General features: G+C 41.1%; 1 long non-coding RNA gene across 1 annotated transcript in view; it reads right to left on the bottom strand.

Annotated features, from left to right (window-relative positions):
- Positions 1-19865, bottom strand: part of MIR646HG (MIR646 host gene) — a 183765-nt gene that overhangs the window by 120984 nt on the left and 42916 nt on the right. The window lies entirely within an intron of this gene.

The raw sequence follows: 19865 nt of genomic DNA, 5'->3' as shown, positions 1-19865 counted from the left end.
TTTGAGCTGGATTTTTTTTAACCTAAAGAGTCCTGGTAGATGTGCTGTTTGATGATACTGTTAAAAACCAATCCGGCATAGGTTCAGGGGACATTGCTGTGCCACATGACATCACCATATTGAAACCATGTGAACTCATAGAGCCCTTCGTCCCCCGGGTCTCCGGGATGCACTAGAGACCTATTTCCTTCCTGCAAAGTGCTGAGGTCTCAGCTTTTCTGGCCTGAAGAAAATGGCAAGTTAAAGTAGAAAAATCTGTTTTAGAAAGTCTTCTGCTATAAGTATCAGCACCACTTGTTTTTTTTTTTTTTTTTAAGATGGGGCCCCAACTGATAACCCAAAATCTAGAAAAAGAGCATTTCTGGGGCCAAGATGGCCAACTAGAAACAGCTATGGTTGGAGACTCCCACCAAGCAGAATAAAAACAGCGAGTGAATCCTGCGCCAGCATCTGAGGTGTCCAGGTTCTCACTGGGACTGACTAGGCGGTTGGCGTGACCCACGAAGGGCGAGAAAAAGCAGGGTGGAGTGACAGCCTACCCAGGAGCCACCCAAGGCAAGGGGACCTCCCACCCCCAGCCAAGGGAAGTGGCGAGTGATTGTGCTACCCCATCCGGGAAACCACACTTTTCCCACTGATATGTGCAACCCATGGATCAGGAGGTCCCCTCGTGAGCTCACGCCACCAGGGCCTCGGGTCCCAAGCACACAGCTGTGCAGGTTCTCAGAGGCCACTCGGCAGGAGGCTGCCTAAGACTGCTGAGTTGCCAGGGTGAGGAGCGGCCACCATCACTGCAGCTCCAGTCTGCGGTTTCCCTCTGCTGGTGCCGTGGAGACTGGGTGGTTTGGACCTAGGAGGAATTCCCCACAGCACAGCACAGCGGTTGTGGCAGACCATGGCCAGACTGCCTCTTTAGGCTGAACTCAGACCCATCCCTCCTCACCCAATAGGGCCTCCCTGTGGGAATTTCAGCAACTCCAGCCAGGGGTTTATGGACAGAACTTTGATCTCCCTAGGACTGGGATGGAACCCCTGGGGAAAGGGGCTGCCGCAGTCTCCATAGATCAGCAGACTTGGTCTTTCCCCTGCTGGCTCTGAGGAATCTGGGCAGTCCAGACAAGTGGGATTCCCCTCAGGGCAGCACACCTCCTCTGCCAAGGGGCAGCCAGACTGCTTCGTTAAGTGGGTCCCTGATCCCATGCCTTGTGACTGGGTGAGACCCTCCAACAGTGGTCACTAGACACTTTATACAGGAGCATTCTGGCTGGCATCAGGTCAGTGCCTCTCTGGGATGGAGCCCCCAGAGGAAGGAGCAGGCAGCCATCTTTGTTGTTTTGCAGCCTCCACTGGGTGACAGCTCCAGGTGTGGGACAGACTCAGGCAAATAGGGTTTGGACTGGGCCCTGAGAAAACTGCAGCAACCCTACAGAAGAGGGGCCTGACTGTTAAAAAGAAAAGCAAACAAACAGAAAGCAACAACCACAACAGCATCAACAAAAAAGTCCCCACAAAAAGCCCCATCCAAAGATCAGAAACCTCAAAGCCCCAAAGATCAAAGGTAAATAAAGTCATGATGATGAGAAAGAATCAATGAAAAAATGCTGAAAACTCAAAAAACCAGACTGCCTCTTCTCCATATGATTGCAATACCTCTCCAGCAAGGGCACAGAACTGGGCTGAGGCTGAGATGGATGAAAATGACAGAAGTAGGCTTCAGAAGGTAGATAAGAAGAATTGTTACCAGCCACTACAAAAGCACACTGAAGCACACAGACCAATGACACTATGAAGCAACTACATCACAAGTGTGCAAAATAACCAGCTAGCATCATGATGACAGGATCGAATCCACACATAACGATATTAACCTTAAATGTAAATGGGCTAAATGCCCCAATTAAAAGACACAGACTGGCAAGCTGGATAAAGAATTGAGACCCATCAGTGTGCTGTATTCAAGAGACCCATCACTTGAATACACATAGATACACATAGGCTCAAAATAAAGAGACGGGGAAAAATTTACCAAGCAAATGGAAAGCAGAAAAAAGCAGAGGTTGCAATTCTAGTTTCTGACAAAACAGACTTTAAAACAACAAAGATCAAAAAAGACAAAGAAGGGAATTACATAATGGTAAAGGGCTCAATTAAACAAGAAGAGCTAACTATTCTAAATATATATGCACCCAATAAAGGAGTATCCAGATTCATAAAACATGTTCTTAGAGACCTACAAAGAGACTTATACTCCCACATAATAATTGTGGGAGACTTGAACACCCCAATGTCAATATTAGCCAGATCACTGAGACAGAAAATTAACAAAGATGTTCAGGACTTGAACTCAACTCTGGATCAAGTGGACCTGATAGATTTCTACAGAACCCTCCACCCCAAAACAATAGAATGTACATTCTTCTTGGCACCACATGTCACTCTAAAATTGATCACATAATTGGAAGTAAAACACCCCTCAGCAAATGCAAAAGAACTGAAATCATGACAGTCCATCAGACCACAACACAATCAAATTAGAACTCAAGATTAAGAAATTCACTCAAAACCACACAACTACATGGAAATTGAACAACCTGCTCCTAAATGATTCCTGCATAAATAATTAAATTAAGGCCAAAATCAAGAAGTTATTTGAAACCAATGAGAAGAAAGAGACAAGATACCAGAATCTGAGACACAGCTAAAGCAGTGTTAAGAGGGAAATTGATATCACTAAACGCCCACATCAAAAAAGTAGATCTCAAATCGACATTCTGACATCACAACTAAAAGAACTAGAGAACCAAGAACGAACAAACCCCAAAGCTAGCAGAAGACAAGAAATAACCAAAATCAGAGTGGAACTGTATGAGATAGATACATGAAAAACCCTTCAGGAAAATAGCTAATCCAGTTTTTTTTTGAAAAAAATTAATAAAATAGACCACTAGCTAGATTAATAAAGAAGAAAAGAGAGAAGAATCAAATAGACACAATAGAAAATGATAAAGGGGATATCACTACTGACCCCACAGAAATACAAACAAACATCAAAGAATACTATAAACACCTCTATGAAAATAAACTAGAAAATCTAGAGGAAATGGAAAAATTCCTGGACACATATATCCTCCCATGACTGAAACAAGAAGAAGTTGAATCCCTGAATAGACCGAAACAAGTTCTGAAACTGAGGCAGTAATAAATAGCCTGCCAACCAGTAAAAGCCCAGGACCAGATGGATTTATGGCTGAATTATACCAGAGGTTCAATGAGGTGCTGGTACCATTTCTTCTGAAACTATTCCAAACAATTGAAAAGGAGGGACTCCTCCCTAACTCATTTTATGAGTTTATGAGACCAGCACAGTTCTGATACCAAAACCTGGCAAAGATACAACAAAAAAAGAAAATTCAGGCCAATATCCCTGATGAACATCAATGCAAAATCCTCAATAAAATATTGGCAAACTAAATCCAGCAGCATATCAAAAAGCTCATCTACCACAATCAAGTTGGCTTCATCCTCAGGATGCAAGGCTAGTTCAACATATACAAATCAATAAACGTAATTCCTCATGTAAACAGAACCAAAGATAAAAACCACATGATTATCTCAATAGGTACAGAAAAGGCCTTCAGTAAAATTCGACATCCCTTCATATTAAAAACTCTTAATAAACTAGGTATTGAAGGAATATACCTCCAAATAATAAGAGCCATTTATGACAAACCCACACCCAGTATCATACTGAATGGGCAAAAGCTGGAAGCATTCCCTTGAAAACTGGCACAATACAAGGATGTCCTCTCTCACCACTCCTTTTCAATATAGTATTGGAAGTTCTGGCCAAGGCATCCGGGAAGAGAAAGAAATAAAGGGTATCCAAACAGGAAGAGAGGAAGTCAACTGTCTCTGTTTGCAGATGACATGATTCTATATTTAGAAAACCCCATCATCTCAGCCCAAAAGCTTATTAAACTGATAAGCAACTTCAGCAAAGTATCAGGATACAAAATCAATGTGCAAAAATCATAAGCATTCCTATACAACATTAGACAAGTAGAGAGTCAATTCATGAATGACCTCCCATTCACAATTGCTACAAAAAGGTTAAAATACCTAGGAATACAGCTAACAAGGAAAGTGAAGGACTTCTTCAAGGAAAACTACAAACCACTACTTAAGGAAATCAGAGAGGACACAAACAAAAAGAAAAACATTCCATGCTTATGGATAGGAAGAATCAATATTGTGAAAATGGCCATAATGCCCAAAGTAATTTATAGATTCAATGCTATTCCCATTAAACTACCATTGACATTCTTCACAGAATTAGAAAAAAACTACATTAAAATGCATATGGAATCAAAAAAGAGCCTGTACATCCAAGACAATCCTAAGCAAAAAGAACAAAGCTGGAGGCATCATGCCACTAACTTCAAATTATACTACAAGTCTATAGTAACCAAAACAGCATGGTACCAGTACAGAAACAGACACATAGACCAATGGAACAGAATAACTCAGAAATAAGACTGCACATCTACAACCATCTGATCTTTGACAAACCTGACAAAAACAAGAAATGGGGAAAGGATTCCCTATTTAATTAGTGGTGCTGGGAAAACTGGCAAGCCATATGAGGGAAACTGAAACTGGACCCCTTCCTTACACCTTATGCAAAAATTAACTCAAGATGGATTAAAGACTTAAACGTAAAACCCAAAACTATAAAAACCCTAGAAGAAAATCTAGGCAATACCATTCAGGACCTAGGCACAGGCAAAGCTTTCATAATGAAAACCTCAAAAGCAATTTGTAACAGAAGCAAAAATTGACAAATGGGATTTAATTAAAGAGCTTCTGCACAGCAAAAGAAACTACAATCAGAGTGAACAGACAACCTATAGAATGGGAGAAAATTTTCACAATCTATCCATCTGACAAAGGGCTAATATACAGAATCTACAAGGAACTTAAACAAATTTACAAGAAAAAAACAACCCCATTAAAAAGTGGGTGAAGGACATGAACAGACACTTCTCAAAGACAATAAACATATGAAAAAGAGCTCAACATCACTGATCACTAAAAATATGTCAATATCACTGATCACTAGAGAAATGCAAATCAAACCCACTATGAGACACCATCTCACACCAGTCAGAATGGCTACTATTAAAAAGTCAAGAAACGAGAGATGCTGGTGAGGCTATGGAGACACAGGAACACTTTTACACTGTTGGTGGGAATATAAATTCGTTCAACCCTTGTGAAAAATAGTGTGGCAATTCCTCAAAGACTTAGAACCAGAAATAACATTTGACCCAGCAATCCCATTACTGGGTATAGACACAAAGGAATATTAATTATAAAGACACATGCACACATACATTCATTGCAGCACTATTCACAATAGCAAAGACATGGAGTCAACCGAAATCCCCATCAATGATAGACTAGATAAAGAAAATGTTGTATATATACACTGAGGAATACTATGCAGCCATAAAAAGGAACAAGATTATGTCCTTTGCAGAGACATGGATGGAGCTGGAAGCCATTATCCATGGAACAGAAAACCAAACACTACATATTCTCACTTATAAGTAGGAGATGACAATGAGAACACATGGGCCCAGGAAAGGGAACAACACACACTGGGGCTTGTCATCGGGGGAGGGGTCGTGCGAGGAGGAAGAGCACCAGGAAAAATAGCTAATGCATGCTAGGCTTAATGCCTCGGTGATGTGTTGATAAGTGCAAAAAACCACCATGGTGCATGTTTACCTATGTAACACACCTGCACATCCTGCACATGTATCCCAGAACTTAAACTTAAAAAAAAAAAGAAAAAGAGCATTTCCAAAAAATATATTCCTTGGAACAAAGGGTATATTGTTCAATATATTTGAAAGAGACTGAATTTCACTAAGTTATCTGAATTTCTTTTGTGTAGGATTCCCAAGAGACCTGAATACACAAATGTACACAATGCTAAGGGCTCAAATGGGTTTCTCTTAACTGACCACAGAAAAATTCATTTTATAAAAATAGAATGTTATGCAGAACTGTGTTTTTCCAGGGACCAATGTACCAAAAGTTCTTTCTATACAACATTCATTCTTGAAGTCTCATATCTCACAGCTCTAAGCCACTTGCTGAGTCCCAGCCTTGCTGGATTTCTCAGTGGGGAGGGGACTGTAGGAAAAGGTATTTGTGCAGAAGAGTCAGCAGGATTTGCAGGGGCAGGTCAGGGAGGTGCTCCGTCCATTCTCTTCGGGAACATTACTTTAGAACACCTTCACTGCAAAGTTTAGCCATTTCATGATGAGCAAAAGCATCCCAATTTTGGTAATTTCAAAGCCTTACAAAAATTAAAAGCAACTGCTCCCAATAAAATATGTGGGCCCCTGTCCCTGTTGGATGCAGATATGCACACTGGCATTCTCTCTCTTCAAGCACTCACAGGTCTCACCTCCACATAGCAGTGTCGAGGGACCAGCACCTCCAGCCAACTATTCTGCACAAATATCTTATCCTTAGGACCAAAGGAATCATTTGGAAACTTCCCATTTGAAGTCTTTTCCTTTTGAAATACCTTTGAACTTGTTTCATCTCCTTTTACCTTTCTTTTTGACAAACTGGCACTTTCTTAAACTTTTAGAGACATCCCAATTATGGAGGTAAATTCTTTGGCAATTTTTCGGGCAATTTCTGCATAAAGGGACATTGTGTGCATGTCCAGTAAAGACCCATTCATTTTCATTGACTTTTTAATGGATTTAACTTGGTTTTAAAAAAAATGATGGCAAGGAAATTAAAGGTAATGAGAGGGAAAATGGATGATTCCAGACTTTCTTCCACTTTAAAGATAGCCAAATGTAATATGCCCAAGTTTGATGAAATTATTTTATTGTTTTAACCATCATTTATGGGAAATTGAGTTTCCCTAGAGACTGCAAGGACCCATTGAAGAGACACAGGACTTTTAACAGGTAAATTGGCAGAATGTTAGGGACTGTTTCTCCTCTTCTGCAGTCACCACCCAAAGCACTTGCCTCCCCTGTTTTACCCAATATGGTGGCTGTGGACCACACACTTCTTTAGGGGATTTGCTTGGGTTGGGCTACCCCAACATCTATTTCCCTACTTTTTGCACAATGCCCATCTCCCTTTGGGGAAATTGCCCCTCTCCCACTGTGTATGGTCTTGGGTTGGTGGGAGGTCAAAGTGCCCTGCTTAGTTGAGTAGGATAGCTATAAGTAAAGGTATTCTGCCATTGCTTGGTGGGGTGGGCTGGCTGTATGTTAAGGTTCCCTGCCATTGTCTAGTAGTGTAGGCTGGCTCCATGTCAAGGTATCCTGCCATTGCTGGTGGGGTGAGCTGGCTACAAGTCAAGTTGTCCTGCTATTGCTTAGTCGAGTGGGCTGGCTGCAAGTCAGGTGTCCTGCCATTGCTTGGTGGGGTGGGCTGGCTATAAGTCAAGGTGCCCTGCCTTTGCTTAGTGGGATGGGCTGGCTATAAGTCAAGTGCCCTGCCATTGCTTAGTGCACTGGGCTGGCTGTCAGTCAAGGTGCCCTGCCATTGCTTAGTGGGGTAGGCTGGCTGTCAGTCAAGGTGCCCTGCCATTGCTTAGTGGGGGAGGCTGGCTATCAGTCAAGGTGCCCGGCCATTGCTTAGTGGGGTATGTCGGCTGTCAGTCAAGGTGCCCGGCCATTGCTTAGTGGGGTATGTCGGCTGTCAGTCAAGGTGCCCGGCCATTGCTTAGTGGGGTAGGCTGGCTGTCATTCAAGGTGCCCTGCCATTGCTTGGTGGGGTGGGCTGGTTACTGGCTATAAGTCAAGATGCCCTGCCGTTGCTTCATTGCTTAGCAATGTTGGGGTAAAGGGGCACTGGAACTCAAGCTGGGGCAATCTCATGAGCTCTCTTTCCACCAACCCCCAGATATTCTGTTAGCCAAGATGACACAAGATAGGGAAAAGAGTTAACCTGATTCCCACCAGATACACTGAGTTGAGATGCCTGGTGCCAGCTCCTGCTACCTGGACCATAACTCTGCCCTTGATCTTGCCATTTCCCAAGCAGAGTTCTCATGCTCTTACTAGATCCTCTTCTGCTTAACCAGAGTTTGTGACCTGGGTAACCCTCACTGGCCCAAACTCATTTTGACAGATCAAATGATTCCTCCTCACCTGAGAAGAAGCAGCTAGAAGTACTCCCAGACACTGCAGGGCATCTAGTCTTCCTCCTCTGCAACAAGAGCCTGGCAGTGTCCCCCTCCCCTCAAAGGATGGCCAGGCCAGCACCCAGCACAGGAGGCCCAGAGCTCCTCCATTGTGGCCCTGAATAATGGAGGGGATGGCACAGATCCACAGTGAAGTATGTGCCCTCTGGACCAAGGCTGTCCAGCTTGAATCCCAGCTCTGCTCCTCACCACTGTATGACTTGGACAAGTCACCAAGTCACCTCGCCCCCATGTGCCTCCATTTCCTCATCTACCAAATGCAGCTAATGCCATTGTTTTTATCTCAAAGGCTTGTTTTAAGGATTAATGAGTTAACATGTGTAAAGCACATAGAACAGCACTTGACCCAAATATTCATTTACTAAGTTTTAGCTATTCTACTCTTCCTCTTATTACTGTTGTTAAAAAAAATAAGTAGCATTCTCACCAATTTAGTTTAGAGATGTAGCTGGCTTTCATTAGTGAGTCATGTGTCAGGCAACATTCCATCTAAAGCTTTAGAAAGAAGATCCTGTAAGCTGAGAAAAGGAGATGGACTTTATGGCTGAAAAAAGGAATAAAAAGTAGAATGGGCATTACAGGTTACTTTCCTTATAAGGTCAAAATGGAGGGAACTTCTGTATCATGCTGTTTCAGACAAATGGGGCTTCTTCCAACTGCTGCTAGGAATCTCCTGTTTTTTGGAAAACTGGTCCGTATGAGTCAGTTTGATTACATGGCACTTAGTATGGATGAATCCATTCTGGTCTGGTTGGTCTGTTGCGCCTAAAACGGAGCTCATTCTAAACAATGACCCCCATCATTGTTATACAACATTATCATGATTTCTACTGTCCTCTTCAGCCTGCAAATGTGCCCTGGTTCAGGCTGTGGTCACAGACTTTACAGATGCTGGTTTGCCAGCACATCAAGAGCTGATCCTTCTCACAATGGCAACCCCACATATGCCAAGTTTTTACAGCTGAAGTCTAAGCTCCAAATGCCAATTTTTAACTTACAGTAACTCATCTCTGTCATTTTGTGGTCAAGAACACAGACTCTGGCATCAAACCCACCTAGATTCAAATCCCAGTGATGCCACCTGCACACTGTGGATTGTTAATCCCCTCTCTCAATCCTACCTCATAGGATTGGAGCGGGGATTGACACAAAATAATATGCACAGAGGGCTTCCTGGGGAGCCTGGCACCTAATAAGTGTTCAATAAATGGCAGCAAAATGTCCTGTAATTATCATGGTGATTGAAAAGATTGCCCGTGCATGGTAGGCATAAGAAGCCAACTTGTATTCAGAGCATCATTTGTTTGATTTTAGAATGAGAAGTAACTCATGCTGGGCACAGGATGCTCAAAGTCTCTATGATTCCTGCATTATTTCCCTGCAGGCAGACAATGGGGGTACCACAAATAATCAGCACATAGCCTGGGGAGCCTGGAATAGACACAGGAAGAGGGAGGGGTGTTCAATGTTTAATGTCACTGGGTTAGGAAGATGCATCAGCTTCACCTGATGGGCTTTGCCACCCTGGCCAGATTGCCTCCATGGCTAAAGCTCTCTCTACCCCTCAGAGAGGTTCTAAATGAAACTCCCAGTATTTGCCAGTGGGATTTATACACAGCTTCCTGAGCACAGCAAACCTTCTTTGAATGACACAACCTCATCCTGAAGTTGTTAATAAATTCACCCAGGTCCCAGCCAGCCTTCTCTCTCCCTCCCTAGCTGGCTCTGCCTCTCTCATCTGGGGAATTACGTGTTGATCTATTTCTTAAAGCCCTGTTGAAGCCAGTGTTTCTAAGTTCTGCAGGAGAGGGAGGCATCTCAATTCAGCCTCCCAATACCGTTCGTAACTGAACACTTAATCCAGGGTAACTTGATCTCTTCTGTCCTAAAGTTGCATGTGTAATTGAACTCAATTTTTAAAAATTACATCATGTTTCTGCATAGAGGAAAAGCACCAGCTTCCATTACAGGATGTCCCATTATGCAGTAGGCACCTATAATGTCACCATTCTAAGCTTTCAACATAGTGTATCTTATACAATCCTGAAAGGAAACCCCTGTGGGATACCTCTCAGCAATGAAAAGGGGTGAACTACTGATGCGTGAGAAAACCTGGTTGGATTTCAAGGGAATTACCTTGAGTGAAAAACACCAATCTCAATGGGTTACTTAGTACATGATTCCATTTATATAACTTTCTTAAAATGGCAAAATTTTAGAGATGGGAGGCAGGTCCATGGTTGCCAGAGTTTGACAAGGAAAGCGCGTGGTGTGGCTATGACAAAGTGGCACAAGGGGCCTTATGACGGATATGCTGTTTCTGGACTGAAGTGATGTTCACAAGAATCTACACGTGGCATAAAATTACAGGGAACTAAATACCCACGTGTAGGGAAGAAAAAGCACCTTTTCCTCACCCATGGCAAGGGTCTTGACCGACAACCCTGTAACAAAAGGCAGATTGCCAGGAGAAAGCATAACACATTTATTTTTATAAAGGTTAATGTGAGGAGCCTCCCGAAATGAATATTCAAAGACCCAGGGAAAACTATGTATTTTTATAATAAGTCTGATGAAAAATTTAATTTGTGGAGAAGTAAAATGGAACAAAATGGGTATGATCTAATGGTAATAATCTGGGGGGATCTTCAGCAAGGCCGGTTTGTTCAGATTCTTTTCTGTGTTTCTGCAAAACATTCCTCCCCCGCCCCGGGTATGAGGAAGGACAATGAGGAACTTCAGGGGAGAAGGGAAGAGGTAAGAGTGACCTTTCTAGGTGTCATGGCTTGCTTTGGGGAAGAAGGATTCTAGTTTCTAAAGCCTGCTTCAGGTTTTTCTCCTAGTTTTGGAGGCTAGAAATTCAAGATCAAGATGCCAGCACAGCCTGGTTCCGGTAAAGACCCTTTCCAGGCTGCAAACTGCCACTGACATGGAGAAAAGAGGGCACGAGAGCTCTCTGCGGTCCCTTTCATAAGGGCACGAACCCCATTCATGAAGGCCCCACCCTCATGTTCTAATCACCTTCCAAAGCCGTATCTCCTAAGACCATCACCTTTGGGATTAGGATTTCAACATAGGAATTTTGAGGGGACACATTCAGTCTATATCAGGGTGCACATTAAATTGGTGCCATGTCAATGAAGTTGGTTGAGTGTGTCAATGCCAACATCCTTGTCTTGATATACACTTGTACCCTAGTTTTGCAAGATTGGGGAAAGCTGAAAGAAGGGTATGCAAGATTTCTCTGCATTATTTCTTACAACTGTGTGTGAAACTACCTTGTCACTGGGGAGTAGCAGGACACAATGGCATCTGTGGGCTGGGGAGCATCAGTTTGGATCCCTACATCACTCCCTATTGCCTCTGCAACCTTGGGCCTGTTACTCAACCTTCCAGAGCCTCAGAGCCTCAGATACACAATGAAGGTCATGGTAATGCCAATCCCAGATAGTACACCTTAAAAAAAATTAATTTAAGTTAACCAGAGTCAGCTTCTGTTGCTTAGAACAAAAACAATCTTTGCTTTTTTGTTGCTTAGAACAAAAACTGATACATAGGATGTTATTTTATAATAGGAAATCAAGTGACTAAGATATATATTAGTCATCTGGTTGATGATATAAAGGACTAGTCTGCAGCAAGACAAATCTTTTGCTGAAAACATACACACACAAAAACTAGATGAAATATGTATATTAAAAAGGTGAATTTTACGTGATTGTGTTATTTTCAAGGTTGGAGAAAGGTCTACCAAACGAAGACAGATAGTCCAAGATCCCGGAGAAAAAGAAAACATATTTAGATGAGACGAGTATTCTCCATTGCTTTCACTTTGAGGTTTATTTAGTTTGCAAGTTATGTGGGCAAAAGGCTGAGAACCTGAGCAGAAAGCCAAGCATGAAGTGGGAGCTGAGCAGAGCTTTTGGCAGTTTATAGAGATGGGAGATGAAGGTTATATTCAAGGACATGATGGCTACCAGGACACATAGGTCCAAGATCTTGGAGGGAAGGCAAGCATTGAGACACAAGCCCAGCATTTCTACTCTGGTTTTCCCCTTGAGATATTTGCCAATGCGTAAGTGGGGACTAGCAAAAGGTTAGAAAGACAAGCACAAACAGTTCTAGATGTCGGAGAAACTAAGCATGGCTTTCAGCAGTCTTACAGGGCTAAAAAAGAAAAAGTGAAGTTCAGAGGTATACCTGGGAAAAGCGGCAAATAGAAGAAAAAAGACCCTGTCTTACAGAGTAGAAACCCAGTCCTGAAGTGATCAACCAAATTCTGATTAGCCTGAGTGGTCTTCCCCTGATATAACTGCCTGATATAAACTCAAATAAAATAAAATTCTTCTCTGTAAGACTGTAATACCGTAGAGAGGCTCTGCACCATCATTCAAGAAAAAGTTCAAAAATTAGCATGTATACCATGAAATAAGACACAGAGAAAAAGCAGACAACAGAAGCATATCCATAGATGATCCATACATTACAGTCATAAGGTATGGATTTTTAAAGAACTATGGTTAACATATACAAGAAAATAAATAATAAAATGGGGAGTTCTAGTAGAGAATTAGAGTCTCAAATTGAAACTGGACATCCAAAAACTCAAAAATAAAGTAACTGAAATTACATACTCAATAGACAAGTCTAACAGCACATTAGATAGAACTAAAAAGAGGACTCATGAGCTGGATGATAGAATAGAAAAATACCCACATTGAAGTGCAAAAGGGGAAAAATGATAGAAAATACACATGTGATTATAATACTAAATATACATATTAACTACAGTCCCCAAAGAGATGAAGGAATAAAGGTGGGAAGGCGCCCTATTTGATAAGGTGATGGTCAAGAATATTTTAAAACTGATAAAATTATAGAAGTATATATTCAAAAATGTTATGAACTCTAAGAAGTTTAAATAAAAAGAAAATCACACCTGGGGACATCTTAATGAAATAATTGAGAATCTAAGACAAAGAAAAACTGAAAAGCAACCAGATTTTAAAAACCCACTTTATCACAAAGAAGTAACAATAGAACTGACAAGCAGGATACAGGAAAAGAAAGCCACACTTAGGTTATTTTTTTCTCCTCTCTTTAAAAAAAAAATATTTAAAGTTCATGTGATAGTAACCACTCTTAGGTTCTTAAGGAGAAAAGCCACATGAGGCATTACTTTCAAAGGAGTAAACAGTAATAATGACAGTTAACTTCTCAACAGAAATGGTGGAAACCAGTAAAAAAAAAAAAAAAAAAAGACACCTTTAAAGTGGTTAAAGGAACTAATATCCAAACTAGAATTCTATGCCCAGTGAAAATATCATTGAAAAGTGAAGATTAATAGACATATTTCCAGACAAACAAAAATTAGCAGGCCTAACTAAGATATTAAAGAGATGTCCACCGGTATAATACAACAATCCTGCACAGAAATTCAGGAAGATGTAGAGAACAGAAAAATGTATGTAGATATATGAGTCTCAAGAATTGTTCAGAGTACTGAATCATAAGAGTGACGCTGTCTTGTGGTGCTTGAAATATATATATAGAAATAAAATATACCCATAACACAAATGGTAAAGGGGTTAAATGAAGTTAAAGTGTTCTAGGGTAATTGAATTGTCTGGGAAGTGGTAAAAGTGCTAATTAGATTAGACAGAGGCACTGTAGTGACACAAGAATACATGTTATAATTTCTAGTTTACCTATTAAAATAACAGCAAAAGGATGTATAACAAGGTAAAAAGGGGAGAATATAAAATCATGAAAACATTGATTCATATAAAAGAAAGCAAGGAAGGGAAGAACAGGTAACAGAAAAAACAAATAGCAAAATTATAAACTCAAATATATTAGTACTTGCATAACACATAAATGGATTAAATGCTCCAGTTTAAAAAGCAAGAATGTCTGATTAGATTTTTTTTAAATGTATGATGTAAAAGAGACACACTTTCTACATGAGGATACTAACGGGTTGAACATTAAAACATGGGAAAAAAGGCATGCATACAGTAATCAAAAGAATGGTGGTTTCCTAGACTAATATGCAAATCAATTTTAAAGAAAGGAGCATTACTAGAAATAAAGACGGATGTCTCATCGTGGCAAAAGAATATGTCAGAGAAATATGATCATTTTAAATTTGCATGTACCTAATTAACATATATTCGAAATATATGAGACAAAACTTGGTGGGAATAAAAGAGGAAACAGGAAATCTACAATGAATACGATAGACTTTAACATACCTCTCTAAGGAATTAATAGAATAAGCAGACAAAATGCCAGAAAAACATACAAAAGATTCATGCATTCTGACTGACACGCCTGACTTAATGTACATGTGTAGAACACGTCACCCAACAGCTGTAGAATTTGCATACATTTAAAATACATGTAAAACGTTTTACATACTTACACACACATATCAACATCTCAATGATATATCAACATATCAAAATGTGTGGTATGCAGCTAAGCCATGCTTAGAGGAAAATTCATGGTCTTAAATGCCTATGTAGGAGAGAAGAAAGCTGAAAGATCAATTGTCTGACTACCAATCTCAAGAAATTACATTTGGAAAAACCAAAAAACCTGAAGTAGAATGAAAGGAATATAAAGGAAGATACAGGATATATTCAAATAGAAAACAAGGCTGGGTACGGTGGCTCACGCCTGTCATCCCAGCACTGTAGGAGGCTGACACAGGAGGATTGTTCAAAGCCAGGAGTTCAAAACCAGCCTGGGCACAGCCATTATTCAAAATTGTACTGGAGCTCCTAACCAGGACAATAAGTAAGCAATCAATCAATATAATAAAACATGAAAAGAAAAAGATAAGACTCTCCTATCTAATACTATGTAGAAAATCCAAAAGAATTCACAAACTATTGAATTATTAAGAGAATTCAGCATCACTGCTACGTGCATGTCAATACACAAAAGTCATTTCATTTTAATGCCAGTAACAAGCAACTAGAAACCGAAATGTGAAGAATAGTATTTACAATATCAGTAGAAATGTACAAAAGCCAGGAATGAATCTAACAGAAGACTTGCTAGATTCCTATAAAGAAAAACCAACAACAACAACAACAAAAAAACACCATAGCGGCATTATTCACAATAGCAAAGACTTGGAACCCACCCAAATGTCCAACAATGATAGACCGGATTAAGAAAATGTGGCACATATACACCATGGAATACTATGCAGCCATAAAAAATGATGAGTTCATGTCCTTTGCAGGGACATGGATGAAATCGGAAATCATCATTCTCAGTAAACTATCGTAAGAACAAAAAACCAAACACCGCATATTCTCACTCATAGGTGGGAACTGAACAATGAGAACACATGGACACAGGAAGGGGAACATCACACTCTGGGGCCTGTTGTGGGGGGCGGGGAGGGGGGAGGGATAGCACTGGGAGATATTCCTAATGCTAGATGATGAGTTAATGGGTGCAGCACACCAGCATGGCACATGTATACATATGTAACTAGCCTGCACATTGTGCGCATGTACCCTAAAACTTAAAGTATAATAATAAAAAAATAAAAAAATTTAGAAAATAGAAAATATAAAAGACCTAGGTAAATGGAAGGATATATCATGTTCGTGGATTATAAGAGTTCTTATTGGAAAGGTGCCAGTTTTCCTCAAGTTGATGTATAGATTATAGGCAATCCTATAAAAATCCCAGCAGCGTTTTTTTTTGTTTTTGTTTTTGTTTTTTTGTTTGTTTGTTTGTTTTTTGTTTTTTTGGACACTAACAAAATGATTCAAAAATTTACATAGAAAAAAAAAAAAGCAGCACCAAGTATGCCTGGAAAGAATCACAGAATTACAGGTCACAACACCAAAAGCAGGGGCTGATTGTGGAGCCAGAGCCACAGCCACAGCCAGTGAGACACTGTGGCCTTGGTGTAGTCACAGGCCAGGTTTCTTAGCCAACCTCAGCATTACTGACATTTGGGGCTGGATGGTTTTTTTATTAGGGAGTGTCCTGTGTGATGTAGGTTGCTTAGCAACATCCCTGGTCTCTACCCATGAGATGCCAGTAGCAGCCTCTGCACACACTTGTGACAACAAAAAACGACTCCAGAAATTGCAAAATGTCCCCTGTTGGGGGAAAAATTTACCCCCGGTTGAGAACTACTGGAATAGAAAACAGAGCCAATCAAATGAAAAATGAGATACAGACCATACATAGGGTTCTTTGATTTATGACTAAAGAGATACCACCTCACACTATAGGCAAAGATCTGTTCCCAAAGCTTTGGTGCTCTAAATATGAAAGGTGAAAATTAAAATGAAGTTTCTAGATGATAATATAAAACAATATCTTCATGGGCTTGGGGCAGACAAAGATTCCTTAAATAGGGCAAATGGCACAAACCATAAAAGGAAAAAGATGACACTGGATTTCATTAAAATTAAGAACTTCTGTTGAGCAAAGGATATGTTACAAGATTAAAAAGGACAACCGTAGTGATGGAGAAGGCATTTCTAAAGCAAATATCTGATGAGGACTACAGTCCAGAATAGGTAATTAACCCACACAATAAGAAAAAGGCAGACGACCCAATTAAAGACGACGTAATTGTAGAGTTCTTGAGACACTTCTTAAAATAATATAAACACACAGCAATAAACATAAGGAAAGGGAGCCTTATTAGTCATCGGGAAAATGCAAATTAAAGTCACAACAAGATACCACTGTATCTTATTAGCCAAATGAGCACAATGGAAAAAATGGCTAAAATGAAAAATCAGATAATACCTAGTGTTGGTGAGAAGCTGGAACAACAGAAACCCTCCTACGATGCTCGAGGTATTCCTATCCATACAAACACTAGCAATGCCTGCTAATACTGGCCATTGGCTCCTTGCTGCCTTAGTGTAGCAGACATGCTTGGTGACCCACCCAGGCCATTTTATGAGCCAGGGCACCGATGTCCCAGCTCCTCAGAGTGTTAGCTGCTGAGGTCCCACACCTTTTCCAGAGAGTGATTTTGCTGATGGGAGCCATCACACATACAGATGCTTCACAATGTTATCCCCACCCCTCTGGGATGACACCCAGCCAATGTCTGGCTGATGAAAAGATACCAAAGCCCTCAGAGGATCAATGCTGTGGTGCTGGTCACCCCCCAGAGCTCCCTATGGCATCAGGCTGCCCTGGACTCTACCCGAACCCATATATGGTATAGCTTCTCCCAGGCTGTCTCCTCCTTCCCTTGCTTCCTCCCAGCTTCCTCCTGAGAGCACCCTTTCTGTAAATCACTTGCACAGTAAGACCCATCTCAGACTCTTGCTTCTGGGGAATGTGATCTAAGTCAGCCAGTAATTCCACTCCTAAATAGAATTCCACTCAATAGAAATGTTTGCATGAATCCACCAGAAACAGGAACAAGGATGTTATAGCACTGTTATTTATTGTAGGCATCCCAAACGGCCCTCAACAGTATAATGCATAAATCACGACTTCTTCTTCAGTGGAATATTACATTGCAATGAAAATGAATACACTACAACCACACACAACATGGGTGCATCTCCCACACATAACGATGAGTGAAGGAAGTCCAACACAAAAGAAAGCACACTCTGTACACATTGGGTATAAAGTTCAACAATCAGAATTAATTCCTAATGATAGACCCTCTGATAGGGATTAGATTTTGAGAAGGCTGTAATTGGGAGGGGGCAGGAGTGTGCTTTCTAGATGCTGATAACCTTCTCTTTCTTCCTTTGAGTAGGTAAAGACTCATTAACTACACAAAGTATTATTTATGTACATTTATGTATGTTATATTGAAATAAGTATATTTTAAAAGAGATCATATTGTTATATATCCAGTAATAAATTATACAAATGTACTGCTTGCAGAAAGTCTACTGATAATTCCTTAGTGATTTCCTTTCTAGTGTTTTATTATTCCTCAGGTCTCTTTCTGCTGAATAATGTAAGTATATTTCAACAATGTTTTCTCTACCTAAGTTGTCTGTTAGTCCAGAAGGAACTGTATCCAGATTACTCCTAAAATCCTCAACTTCCTGATTCAGTTACCCCTGAGACTTTTTCCGTTTAAATCAATCACTCAATAATTATTGGACACTATGAACCAGGCGCTGTTCCGGGCTCTGGAGGTGAAGCAGTGATTAAGACAGGTGTGGTCCCCTGCCTCACGGGGCCTACAACCTCCACAAAGACCCATATCTGGGAACTAATACCCATCAGTCCACTGGGAGGCCCTTGGAGCACAGTGGAAAATGTTTATTCAAAACACTGAGATAAAATCATCTTTCGAAATAATGATACAGCATGCACAAGGTCATCAGTAGTGAGCACCAGAGATGGAGACCAGCACAGCCACCCTCGAACTCACCAAAACCTCCAGAATGTCTGTGCCCCAAAAGGAAGGCACAAGGAAGTCCAAAATGTCTGAGATTGAATTTCCCACCAGCCTGCCAAGATATTGCTTGAGAGTCGTATTTAATTCAGTCTTTTACGAAATAAAGAAATATGACATTTTTCATCTTCCTCTGTGTGCGGATACAAATCCTTTCTCACCCCAAGGCAACAACAGCAGTAACAAAACAAGAACTGCTGAGCAGAAAGCCACAGCCCAGAGCAGCTGAGGTGGGGACACAGAGCACCAAGGAACAGAGTGGGGGGTCACTGGGAGTAAATGTGCGTCCCAATGTCCACTGTATCTTATGGAAGTGCTGATATCCAACCCTTTTTGACCATAAAAACATCAGTTTCACAAGGTATGTGCTAATGTTCCTAAGCACTTAGCATGCTCCCCCATCGGTCAGCAGAGAGTTCAGTGGGGTCCCTCTCAGCCACCAAGAGGCTTTGTCCTGGTGGAAACACCTCAATTACCTGACTAAAAAAACACCTCAGGCCGGGCACATTGGCTCACTCCTGTAATCCCAGCACTTTGGGAGGCTGAGGTGGGCAGATCACAAGGTCAGAAGATCAAGACCATCCTGGCCAACATGGTAAAACCCCGTCTCTACTAAAAATACAAAAATTATCTGGGCTTGGTGGTGCGTGCCTGTAATTCCAGCTACTCGGGAGGCTGAGGCAGGAGAATCGCTTGAACCAGGGAGTCGGAGGTTGCAGTGAACCAAGATAGTGCCACTGCACTCCAGCCTGGGCGACAGAGCGAGCCTCTGTCTCAAAAACAACAACATCAACAACAACAACAAAAATTGCCTGACGCCACAACTACCTGTTCCTGGGCCAACAGGACTCAGGCCCGACCTGCATTCCCTGCAGATGCCTCCTGATCAAGTGAATGGTGTGACTTTTTTCAAATGATCAAATGCTGCCCAAAGATTATTAACTAAGTACAGAAAAATGTCCCATTTCATTACAGACAAGGTCTTCCGAACGTGGCTCCACCCAGAACACAGCAGTCCCAGTACGCATGCCATGATGGGTTTTTATGCCCAGCTTATAATAAGAAGATATTCTTACCAGGAAGTGGAGAATGCATCTAATTTCTACCTCTCCCTTAATGAGATGAAATCAGTTATATTAAACAGAAAAGTACAGTCAACCTGGGCTATTAATTAGGAAGATCTAAACAAAT

This window comes from Homo sapiens, chromosome 20, assembly GCF_000001405.40.
Source record: "Homo sapiens chromosome 20, GRCh38.p14 Primary Assembly".
Lineage (NCBI taxonomy): Eukaryota > Metazoa > Chordata > Mammalia > Primates > Hominidae > Homo > Homo sapiens.
Note: the sequence above shows the minus strand (reverse complement) of the source record. Positions and strands in the feature narration are given on the sequence as shown.